The 13,131-nt window shown below is 35.8% G+C and overlaps 1 protein-coding gene across 14 annotated transcripts in view; it reads right to left on the bottom strand.

Moving 5' to 3' along the window:
* Positions 1-13,131, bottom strand: part of SCFD1 (sec1 family domain containing 1) — a 113,597-nt gene that overhangs the window by 81,477 nt on the left and 18,989 nt on the right. For all 14 annotated transcript variants that reach the window (XR_007063993.1, XR_007063994.1, XR_007063995.1 and 11 more), the window contains 4 exons: positions 10,969-11,058; positions 4,791-4,846; positions 3,724-3,809; positions 786-885 (listed from right to left, as the gene is read on the bottom strand). Coding sequence is in view for 10 of the 14 variants with exons in the window: in NM_001283032.1 (NP_001269961.1) it covers positions 786-885; positions 3,724-3,809; positions 4,791-4,846; positions 10,969-11,058 (332 nt within the window). In the remaining 4 variants the exon portion in view is untranslated. The remainder of the gene's footprint in view (positions 1-785; positions 886-3,723; positions 3,810-4,790; positions 4,847-10,968; positions 11,059-13,131) is intronic.

Here is a 13,131-nt window from a genome sequence, read left to right as displayed (position 1 = left end):
GACATGTTGGGCAGTCTTTACTATCATGATATGATTATATAGTGTAATCCCTAGAGTCCTGAGCTAGGAGTTAGTAAACTACAGTGTTAGTTTTAACAAAGCCCATGATTTGAGTTCAAATTCTTTAACGTCTGTCTATCAAATAGAGACTATTCTGGCCTGATTACATAGTGTCTCATAGAGAAATTATTTGTGTACCTATTTTCTTTCCATTGTCTTTGAAGACTGAAGCCGTGTTTTATCACCTGTGTATGTCACATGCTAAACACAACACTTAGCAGCTAAATTTACATATGCATAAATACAAATTTTTGCTATAAGCATAAAATCAGATATGTGGAATTACTTCAGAAAACATATGGTGTAACATAAAAAATACTATTTTTTTTTTAACGTAAAATGAGGTTTAACTGACTCCCAGAGAAAAGGGAGAAATTACTGCTTTTCTCCTAAGGGAGAACACATTTATTTACTTATTCGGTTAGAAAATTAAAAATAAAACAAAATAATCCATTTTCTTCAATTGTTTTCTTTTCCTTCTTTTCCATGGCCAACAAAACCACTACTTTACCCTATAAAGATCATAAATTTGAAACTAAACTTTAATGCTTCACATTTTCCAGCATCCACACCCAGTAATACCAAATCCCATCACTTGTTTTGTTCATAGGTCTCAGTTCCATCCTTCTCATTTTTGTTTCTGTAGCCATGATGTTAATTTTAAATTAAAGGGAACACTGCATGTTACTATATTTCAGTAATAAGTGCTGCATTTAGTCTCTTACCAGTACATCGTGCACCAATGCTTGATATGTCCAAGTATGATGTAAAGGAGTTGCCAAATCTATGTTTCTGTCAACAAGGACTAATAAGGGCCTCTGGAAGCTGTAAATATACATATAAAAAAATTACATAACTCTTGATACCAGTGTATACATCTAAAATATTCTACTACTTTCCAGTATATGCCATTTTGATATGAATAATAGTATGCTAATATTGACAATTCCTAATACTTTGTTTTTTAGTATATGTGCTGCTGAAGCAAGCACCACAATACTTTGCTTTTTGTTGAGACAGGGTCTTGCTATGTCACCCAGGCTGGAGTGCAGTGGCGCGATCATAGCTAACTGCAGCCTTGAACTCCTGGGCTCAAGCAATCCTTCTGCCTTGGTTTCTGGAGTAGCTGGGACTACAGGCATGCACCATCACACACCTGGCTAATTTTTAAACATTTTTATAGAGACGGGGGAGGCTGGCTTTTAAAAAACAAATTTAACGTGGTCACACAATTACAGTAATGCTTTGGACTAGTTACAGCTTGTGTATGATGCCAGATTATAAATTTTACTTAGGAAACTTTATTTTTTTTTTTGAGACTCTGTCACCCAGGTTGGAGTGTAGTGGCACAATCACAGGTCACTGCAGCCTTGACTTCCCAGGCTCAAGTAATCCTCCCACCTCAGTCTCCCAATTAGCTGAGACTCCAGGTGTGCACCACCACTCTTGGCTAATTTTTAAATTTTTTTTAGAGACGGGGCAACTAACCACATTGCCCAGGCTGGTCTTGAACTCCTAGGCTCAAGTGATCCTCCCACCTTGGCCTCCCAAAGTACTAGGATTACAGGTGTGAACTATCATGCCCTGCCAGGAAACTTTAAGGAAAAAAATCTATATAAATATTTCTAAAGAATAATTTTTGTGGTTAGCAAAATAATAAGCTGCTTCTACTCAGAAGTTTTTGATGTTTCTGTAAAAAAAGGCAATAAGGAATAGTTATTGTCAGCTTCAGGGAAAACAAAGAGTAGGAGCTTATAAATTTACACAAATGTTTGACAGTTTCATAAATTATAATTTTTTTCCTATAAACACAAACTCAAGCAGACTCTGGAGAAGAGCCTCAAAAAACGCTATACCACTATAATATACAAAATGAAAACATAATGCCATAATGGTACCTAATTATATTATTATCCCCTTAACAGAGAAGGCATATGATACCTCATGTACTGTTGCTCCATTATTACAATTTAGATGTGAAATAAAGTACCACCGAAAGCAAATTGAGGCACAGTCATTTGGTTATCATGTGTCTACAGAAGTTTTAGAGATCTGCTTTAGAGGCACTATCATATCAGGAGTACGCACCACTTTTCAAAAGGCATCACTATCTGTTTACATATTTCCTTTCGCAATAGAATTAACTCATTACACTCTTCTGGGTATAGGACAGTGGATTTCCTAACTGCATTGACTCGGGGATAAAAAGTCAGAGTGGCACCCTTGCGATCTACTATGATTTACCAGAGCTAGATGGAAGGTAAGGGAGGATGGCCTACCGCAGGGTTTCTTAACCCTAGAACTGCTGACATTTGGGGCTGGATAATTTCTTGTTATAGGGGGTTGTGGTGTGCATTATAGGATGTTTAGCAGCATCCTACAATGTATACAAGATTCTAGTAACACCTACCAGTTATGACAACCAAACATGTCTCCAGACATTACCAAATGGCTATGGGAGGCAAAAACTGCCCTTAGTTGAAAATCACCAGCCTATGGTTGGATTCAAATGTATTTAACAATAGTCCAGCAAGGTTGTGACCACTAAGGAAAATGATTAAGAAATAGATCCAACAAGTTGAGAAACAAGACGCCCATATTATGATAATGTGAATAAATTTAAAAAAATTATCCAAATAAAACAGTGCCTTTATACTGGTTTCTAAGGCCTATCCCAGAGAGCTATAAAAAGGGAACTATTAAGTAAGATATGACACAGTGGTTGGTTCTGTTAAAAAAAAAAAAAGATCAGGTGAGAATTTGATGTTTTTCTTCTACCTAATGAGAAACATTTTGAAGAATACTTAAGACCAGAAATGAAATCATAGAACCATTTAAAATAATGTGGAAACTGAGACAGTTAACCAAACAATTGAAACACAGTGTTAGTGTGAACTCCCAATTATACAAGCAGTTTATAAGGCTGTAGGAGACACCAAATTGACTTGAGATGAAGTCTACAGAAAGTTATTATGAAATTATTACTTCTAGTGGGCAGTTATTTCTCTGGGCATCTGTTTATTTTGGGCTTTATTTATTAATTCATCTAAACTGGGGTTAAGAATTAATTTTCCAGAATATAATCTCTTCTTTAAACAATTCTCAGCCATTTGAGTGGGTTTCTTTACTTCTTTACTCCATTACTATTAACAATCAGAAGTTAAATATACTATAATGTATAGGGTTTTTTAGTATTTCTATTCAATAATAAGCAGCCAAAAACATTGGCCTTACTTATGCTAGAAATGCTAACAATAATAAAATGTTTTTCAAGTTTAGGCTATTAGTATTTAAGTATAAAATGGAAATCAGATTAATAAAGGTAGAAACAGATATAAGTATCACAAGTTTTTCACTCTGTGAAAAATAACCAAGCGGTTTAATGATAATTGAAAGAAAATGGCTTCTGACCTTCAAAGCCTTATACACAGAAAAATTTTTCTTATAGATGATAAAATGCTTAGAAATTTTTACCAAAAGGTAAATTGAATAAAATATTCCACTTGTATTTTAAGAACAATATGAGTCAAAACCTTGATCCTGATTAGCTCATTAAAAAGAAACAAATTTCAATTACAAGGATATTCTATCAGCCAAGAAAAGTAACAAAAAAACTCTACAAATATTTTAAAGTCTTACAAGTGTATTTAATAACAGTAATACCTGAATTGGCCAGCTCCAAGTGTATCACCTGTAAAAAGACTGTTTCTTGCATCTCTTAGATTTTCTCGAAGTTTCTTGTCTAGTTTCTGAAAAATAAAATTTTAGATTAACTCTTAACAGTTTCATATAACTTTATGGAGGTTAATTCAAAATGTGTTTTTAGTTTCATAACCAAGAAACCTGGAATTTCTTTACAAATAGCAAATCTAATATCTAAATATTTTAGCTCCGTCTTACCACTTCCATATCATCATAACTTGGACTTAACAAAGATCAGTGCCTTTTCCACTGTGAGTCGGGCCTGATGTCACTAAGAAGAACCTTTCATTGACTAATTTTACTTTGGCTATGGGAAACGATTTGCAGTAATGACGCACACTCTTTTCCTAAGCATGACTGTTTTATCAAGGAAGGTGTCTATATGGAGAAAACGTTGACTTGGGTGGGTAGGAGTGAACAAAGTAGTGGTGGGTACAAGAAGCCTCAGAAGAGAAATGGAATATATGAAAGAAGGCAGTCTTCCACCAGTCAGTAATTCACTTGGGCTAATAAAGTTCCAAAATACCTCCTTCTTTTTCAGTAATTCTATAATTTCTCTAATCCCTTACTCATTTCTTAATCTTTAAAGCAAATTTATGAACACCTACTTTATACTTAATATTTTACTTCAATATAGTGGGATAGCAAAAAGCACTTCATTTTAAAAATGGTTATGATTAGTAATATTTGCTAAATGAAGTTAAATATTAAGTAATCTGGGGGATCAAATAAGTGTAAAATACTGCTTGGAGAGACAAGGTTGAATGAGGAATATACATTTTAGTTTTAAAAAAAGAAATAGGACTGGAATAGCACACCGGAGTAAATAATTTTACTTTCTCGTGTGGAAATAAATGATTACTTTTTATCTTCGGTGCAATCTCAATGTAATAAAATAAAAATATTTGCTATTGGTACCTACAACCAAGCAATCATATATTTAAATATTAACAAAACAGTTGCGTTACTTGTGGGAAAACAATTCACACAATGTTATTTATCTCCACGTGATATCCGCATGAACTTACCACTGCTACCATTTCTGCTGCTGTTCCTCTTGAACATCTGATTATAGGAACAGCACCTATTTTAACAATAAATGTTAGAAATGATCTTGGCTCTTAATTAAAATAGATACTTATAAAATACATCAGCATCAAAAATAACAGATGTGATAGATACATACAATTTCACGTTACACACGATTTTATGTATTTATTTTTCCACATTTTTTTAATTTTTAAAAAACTAAAAAATATATTTAGGGGGTACAAGTACAGCCTTCTTACATGCATATATTGCATAGTGGTGATGTCTGGGCTTTTAGTGCACCCATCACCCGAACAGTGAACACTGTACTCAAAAGGTAATTTTTCAACCCTCCCCCGACAAGCACACATAAAAGGATTTATAATTTCCCTCACAAGCTCACATAAAAGGATTTATAATTTCAAGGGTAAAAATAAGTTTCAGAAATGAACCTTCCCATTAATAAAGAAAACAACAGGGAGTCAGAAGAAAACTATTTTTATATGGAGCTGACCAATCAATGTGACTGCATTTTTTCCAAAGGATTGACTAAATCAGTATTTTGATCCCCTATGGGCAGTTTTTCTTTCCTTTTTTTTTTTTTTTTGAGACGGGGTGTCACTCTGTCACCCAGGCTAGGAGGCTGGAGTGTAGTGGTGCAGTCATGGCTAGCCTTGACCTGCTGGGCTCAAACCATCCTCCCACCTCAGCCTCCTGAGTAGCTGGGACCGCAGGCACAGGCCACCAAGCCTGGCTAATTTGGCAAAACTCTGTCTCTACAAAAATTGCAAAAAATTTGCTGGGCATGGTGGTGTGTGCCTGTGTTCCCAGCTACTCGAAAGGTTGTAGACAAAGTTTCACTATGCTGTCCAGGCTGGTCTGAGCTCAAGTGATCCTGCTACCTCAACCACCTAAAGTGCTGGGATAACAAGTGTGAGCCTCTGCACCTGGTCTAGGCAGTTTCAATACATAAGCTTACTCTACTCACAGGTTTCACATTAATTTGACTTAAAAGAAAAGAATGAAAAGAGCTTAGCTAATTCAGCAGTTTGGGGACTGCTAGTTTTTGTTTATTTTACAAATTGACAATAAAAAATTGTAGTTTTTTAAAAATACCAATTTAAATAATAGAAAACACATTATTCATATAGGTTGAAATCCTAAATAGAAAAAAAGTCCAACTGCACTGAAAGTCTCATAAGACAAACTGAGAACACTGTAATATTTATATGCTCAAACTGTCACATTTTAGATTCTATAGGAAATATGAATATACTCAGTCAATTGCAAAAGTAAAAACACAAAATAGCAAATTTTTCAAAACTGTGTTTTCTTTTGATGGCAAAAGTTATAAATGTTTGTAATAAAAAATTTAAATTAACATTAGAAATGTATAAACGTAACCCTCTTGATTCCAGCCCTCACAACCCCCATTAGAATTAGAAATGGATGCCTCCATGTTGTTTTCTACATATAATCTACTAAGTCTGTGTGTATATGTAAAAAAACAAAAATACGATAGTATATATACTGTTCTAAAACTTGTTTTTCCCCATGTAACAATTTAGTGTTGACATCCTTCTATGTCAGATTGGCAATAATTTCAATTTCTCCTTTGAAAAATAAATCACTGGCCGGGCATGGTGGCTCATGCCTGTAATCCCAGCACTTTGGGAGGCTGAGGCGGGCGGATCACCTGAGGTCAGGAGTTCGAGACCAGCCTGGCCAACATGGTGAAACCCCGTCTCTGCTAAAAATACAAAAATTAGCCAGGCGTGGTAGAGCATGCCTATAATCCCAGCTACTCAGGAGGCTGAGGCAGGAGAATCGCTTGAACCTGGGAGGCAGAGGTTGCAGTGCAACCTCCCTAGCATTTGGCAAAATTTTACAGACCGTGTGGGGTGACAAAATAGAAAGAAAATTATGTCTGTTTAACACTAAAAGTTGTATACGTGTACTTTCTTTATATATAAAACAACAACAACAACAAACCATATGAGGGCAATGAAAGCAGTTCAAAGCAGGCAGAAACTGGAGGGGTTAACTCTTGAAAGAAGAGAATCACATAAGGTAATATATATTTTTAACCAGCTTTTCTCCTGAGGGTACCTGACACATTACATGGCACACAGGAGAAAGAACTCAAGCAGAAAACAGGAAAATTACTGAGCTGAAGAATCAAAAATTGGAGCTCAGGGCTGGAAATTAAGGGAAAAAAAAAATCCCTGAAAGGAGGGAGCCATACAATTTGCATATAAATTCTCTACATGTCTAAACATTTGTCTAAATCTTAAGACTATACATGGTAGTTCTTAATTTTTTTGTGTGACATATTTTATTAATCTAGTGTGAGAATCATTTTAACAAAAAGGTTTTAAGTGTCTAAAAAATTAAAATTGCAATTAGGCTTTTAAACTGATCCATTAGTGATAGTAAAGCACAAAGTCACATATTAGATACTAAACAAAATTTTAGACAATCTACATCAGTGCTTTACATTTTGAATCAAGGAAACCAGAAGTTGTTTCTTTGAAAGAATAAACAAGATAGGTAGACCACTAGTTAGGTCAACAAAGAAAAAAAGAGACGATCCAAATAAACACAATGAGAAATGACAAGGGTAACATTATCATCGACCCCACAGAAATATAAAAAACCGTCAGAGACTATTACAAACACCCCTATGAACACAAACTAGAAAACCTAACAGAAATGAGTAAATTTCTGGAAACATAGAACCTGCCAAGGTTTAACAAGGAAGAAACTGAAGTTCTGGAATAACAAATTCCAAAACTGAATCAGTAATAAAAAATCTATGAACCAGAAAAAGCCCTGGACCAGATGGATTCACAGCCAAATTCTAACAGATATACAAAGAAGAGCTGGCACCAATACTACTAATATTATTCCAAAAAATTGAGGAGGAGGGACTCTTCCCTATCTCATTCAATGAGGCCAGTATCATTCTCATACCAAAACCTAGCAGAGACACAACAAAAAAATAAAACTTCAGTCTGATACCCCTGATGAATACAGGTGCAAAAATCTTCAACAGAATATTAACAAACTGAATCCAAAAAAATGAATCCACCACGATCAAGTATGCTTTATTCCCAGGATGCAAGGTTGATTCAACACATGCAAATCAGAAAATGTGATTCATTACATAAAAAGAACTAAAAACAAAAACCATATGATCATCTCAACAGACACAGAAAAGGCTTTTGAAAAAATTCACCATCACTTCATTTAAAAAACCCTCAGCTGGGCGTGGTGGCTCACGCCTGTAATTCCAGCACTTTGGGAGGCCGAGGCAGGTGGATCACGAGGTCAAGAGATTGAGACCATCCTGACCAACATGGTGAAACCCCATCTCTAGTAAAAATAGAAAAATTAGCTGGGCGTGGTGGCATGTGCCTGTAGTCCCAGCTACTCGGGAGGCTGAGGCAGAATTGCTTGAATCCAGGAGGTGGAGGTTGCAGTGAGCTGAGGTTGTGCCACTGCACTCCAGCCTAGTGACAGAGCAAGACTTCATCTAAAACAAAAACAAAAAAAAACACACAAAAAAACCCTCAACAAATTAGGCAATGAAGAAACATACCTCAAAATAATAAGAGTAATCTATGACAAACACACAGCCAATGTCATAATAAATGGGCAAAAGCTGTACGCATTCCCCCTGAGAACTTGAATAAGACAAGGACACCCATTCCCATTTAACATAGTACTGGAAGTCGTAGCCAAAGCAATCAGGCAAGAGAAAGAAATAAAAGGCATCCTAATAGGAAGAGAGGAAGTCATACTATCTCTTTGCAGGTTATATGATCTTATACCTCACAAATTCCATACTCTCTGCCCAAAGGCTCCCAGAACTAATAAGCAGCTTCAGTAAAGTTTCAGGATGCAAAAGTCAATGTACAAAAACCAGCAGCATTTCTATACACCAATAATATCCAAGCTGAGAGCCAAATCAAAAATGCAATCCCATTCACAATAGCCACAAAAAGAAGAAAATACCTAGGAATACAGCTAATTAGGGAGGTGAGAGAGCTCTACAACAAGAATTACGAAACGAAAAGAAATCAGAGATGACACAAACAAATGGAAAAACGTTCCATGTTCATGGATAAGAAGACTCAATATTAAAATGGCCACACTGCCAAAGCAATTTACAAATTCAGTGCTATTCCTACCAAACTACCAATGCCAGTTTTCACAGAATTAGAAAAAACTTTTCTAAAAGTCATACAGAACCAAAAAAGAGCCTGAATAGCCAAAGCAAATCTAAGCAAAAATAACAAAGCTGGGAGCATTACACAACCTGACTTCGAAGTATACTACTACACGGCTTTTACGGTAGTAACCAAAACAGCATGGTACAAAAACAGACACATGGACCAATGGAACAGGTTAGAGAACCCAGAAATAAAGCCACATACCTACAACCATCTGATCTTCGACAATGTTGATAATAACAAGCAATAGGGAAAGAACTCCCTATTCAGTAAGTGGTGCTGGGATAACTGGCTAGCTATACGCAGGAGATTAAAACTGAACCCCTTCCTTTCACCATATACAAAAATAAACTCAAAATGGATTAAAGACTTAAATGTAAGACCTCAAACTATAAAAATCCTAGAAGAAAACCTAGACAACATTCTGAACACAGGCCTTGGCAAAGATTTCATGCTGAAGTCTCCAAAAACAACCACCAGAAAAACAAAAACAGACAAATTGGACCTAATTAAACTAAAGAGCTTCTGCACAGCAAAACAAACTATCAGCAAAGTGAATGGACAACCTACAGAATGGGAAAAAATATTCGCAAACTATGCATCCAACAGAATTTATAAGGAACTTAAACAAATCGACAAGCAAAAACAACCCCATTAAAAATGGGCAAAGGACATGAACAGACACTTCTCAAGAAAAACAAAAGGACATACGTGGCCAGCAAGCATATGAAAAAATGCTCAACATCACTAATCATTAGAGAAATGCAAATCAAAACCACAATGAGATACCATCTCACACCAGTCAGAATGTCTATTATTAAAAAGTCAAAAAATAACAGATGTTGGCGAGGTTGCAGAGGAAAGGGAACACTTATACGCTGTTGGTAGGAATGTAAATTAGTTCAGCCACTGTGGAAAGCAATTTGGAGGCTTCTCAAAGAACTTAAAACAGAACTACCATCCGACTCAGCAATCCCATTACTGGGTATACAGCCAAAAGAATATAACTCATTCTACGAAAAAGACACATCTACCCATATGTTCATTGCTGTAATATTCACAATAGCAAAGACATGGAATCAACCTAGATGCCTATCAAGGGTGGACTGGATAAACAATTTGTGATACACATACATCATGGAATACTTATAGAGCCATAAAAAAAGAGTGAAATCATATGCTTTGCAGCAACATAGATATAGCTGGAGGTCATTATTCTAAGGGAATTAACAGAAACAGAAAACAAAACACCCTATGTTCTCACTTGTAAGTGGGAGCTAAACAAAAAGAAAAGACACAAAGATGAGAATAATAGATATTGGGGTCTACCTGAGCATAGAGGATGAGGGTCAAAAAACTCCCTATCAGGTACCATGCCCATGGCCTGGGTGACGAATTCATTTGTACACCAAACCCCAGTGACACGCAATTTACCCATGTAACAAACTTGCACATGTATCCCCCAAACCTAAAATAAAAGTTGAAAATAAAAAAAAATTAAAAATAAAATTTGAAGGTATAGGTAGATTAGTATTACATACATAATGTTTTCTGGAGCCTTGGGCATCTGAACTTAATAGTTACCAAACATTTATTTCTCTATTTAGAAATGTGTTTGAAATTTTTCATAATGAAATATTAAAAGAAAATTAACAGGCACATAGGTGAAGTCACCACCAAGCCATTCAAATAATATGGTAGAAAATTATAACTACCAAAGACATCTAAAATGACAACTCAATAGATCTGTTAAATGTTAAGAGAACCACATCAAGTTATTGGAAGAATTGTTTTTATATACTATTGAATATATATTTTACTCCACTCGAGAACCTCTAGAGATCCAGGTAAGTGAGAACGAATCACATTACAGTGTAATACATTAAAATTACTTGTTAAATAATTTACTTTGAAGAATAACCAGAAAGACTGGAAAACTTACCCAGAGTAACAAAAAAGCAGAAGAGGCTGTCAACTATAGTGTCCATAACAGTTTCCATTTCCGTGTCTGTGATATCTGGCCTGTTAATGGCTAAAATGACATAGGAAAAGGAGAAAAAGTTGACCCAAACTTATGCCTCATCTTTCTAAAACTCCTAAAATTATTACTAAATTCTTAATTGACATATAATAAAACTCAGCAAGTGAAATTTTTTGGTTTAAATTTTTTTTTTTCAGACAGGATCTTGCTCTGTCACCCAGGAGGGAGTGCAGAGACATGATCACGGCTTACTGCAGCCTCAACCTCCTGGGCTCAAGTGATCCTCCCATCTCAGCCTTCAGAATAGCTGGGACCACAGGCACATGCCACCACGCCCGGCTAATTAAACAATTTTTTTTGTAGAGATGGGTCTCCCTATGTTGCCCAGGCTGGTCTTGAACTCCTGGGCTCAAGCGATCCTCCTACCTTGGCCTCCCAAAGGGCTGGAATTATAGGCATGAGCCACCACACCCTGCCTGCTTTAAACTTCTTTTAAATGAATAAATATCTGTTAAAAATTATACCACCTCAAAGAGAAAAATAAATAACCACAACAAACTACCTTAATATCAGACATTAGGAGACTACTACTAAGAAAAACAACCCCACGATGTAAACTTACAAAATTTTTGACAAAAAGGAAAATAAATATCATATTCCATAGTTTTATTCATAAACACTAGATGGCCTCAAGAAACTACTGATTCTGTTACCCAACTACAGCCAGAAAAGGAAATGCAAATAAATTACAGCACAACCAACATTGCATATCATTTTCTTTATATTAAGTTATATAAATTTCTCTTCTAATCTACAAGAGTGTATATAAGTAGTTCCCAAACTTTACTGAGTATAAGAATCACCCAGGGAATATGGGGAAAAATTCTCTGGACGTTTTTAAAAATTAAAGATTCTTATCCCTTTCCTTTAGGGATTCTGTATGGATATGAATAATTCTAAAAAACCTATAATTTTGAGGCTGGGTGTGGTAGCTCACACCTGTAATCCCAGCACTCTGGGAGGCTGAGGGGGCAGATCACCTAAGGTTAGGAGTTTGAGACTACTAGCCTGGCTAACACGGTGAAACCCCGTCTCTACTAAAAATACAAAAATTAGCCAGGTGTGGTGGCACACACCTGTAATCCCAGCTACTTGGGAGGCTGAGGCAGGAGGATTGCTTGAAACTGGGAGACAGAGGTTGCAGTGAGCTGAGATCATACCACTGCACTCCAGCCTGGGCGACAGAGAGAGACTCTGTCTCGGGGTGGCGGGGGAACAACCTATAATTTTGACAAGCACCTCAGGCAATTCTAATGCAAATAGGCCTTGGGGCTACACTTTAAGAAACATTGTTGAGTAGACTGTCTTTGACAAAGACCTTGACTTACTTATCTTCCTCTCACAATATCAAGGCCCAGTGTCTGATGAAGTACATCAATAACTATATGTTGAAAGATTAGTGTCTAAACTATTATCTACAAAGTATTTTTAATGTCCCAATATCCTGAAAGTGAAAACACATATAAAATTTAATACCACTTGTGGTTACTATAAGAGGAAAGCAGAATTCAACTGGATATCTCCAAGTATCTACAGAAAGCGTGGCCCACCCAGACAACACATAATAAAATAATTCAATCAGGCAACACAGAATCTAAAAGAAGGAAATGGGCCATTACTCAGGTGTTGCAAATACCATCTATTTCAATCAGAAGAAATCAATATCATAAAGAATACAATTTGCATTATGTGAATTCAGGGGATATCAATTCAAGGAAACATACCCAATTCATTTCATTAATCAGTGGCACAAGTGATCTGTAGACACTTCAAACCTTTTAGTTAAATCACTTGTACATTTTTGTTAATTACTGGCACTAGAAAAATCTACATGGAAGCATCCAGCCCTTGAGTCCTATATCCTAGTTCCACATCTCTCAATGAAAAGTAACCCTAACTTTTATGTTTATGACCTAACAGTCATAAACTGCTAATCAATAACCTCAACTTGAGATAACAGTTGCTTTGTCTAAGATAGCAGCCTTAGTTTGACTGAGATAATAAATCTCCTTGCTCCCAATCCATGGAAAGTTTAGAATGAAAAATATTTGCAAATCAATACCA

Source organism: Homo sapiens, chromosome 14, assembly GCF_000001405.40.
Source record: "Homo sapiens chromosome 14, GRCh38.p14 Primary Assembly".
Lineage (NCBI taxonomy): Eukaryota > Metazoa > Chordata > Mammalia > Primates > Hominidae > Homo > Homo sapiens.
The sequence above is the reverse complement of the archived record's forward strand: the minus strand, read 5'-3'. Positions and strand labels throughout refer to the sequence as shown.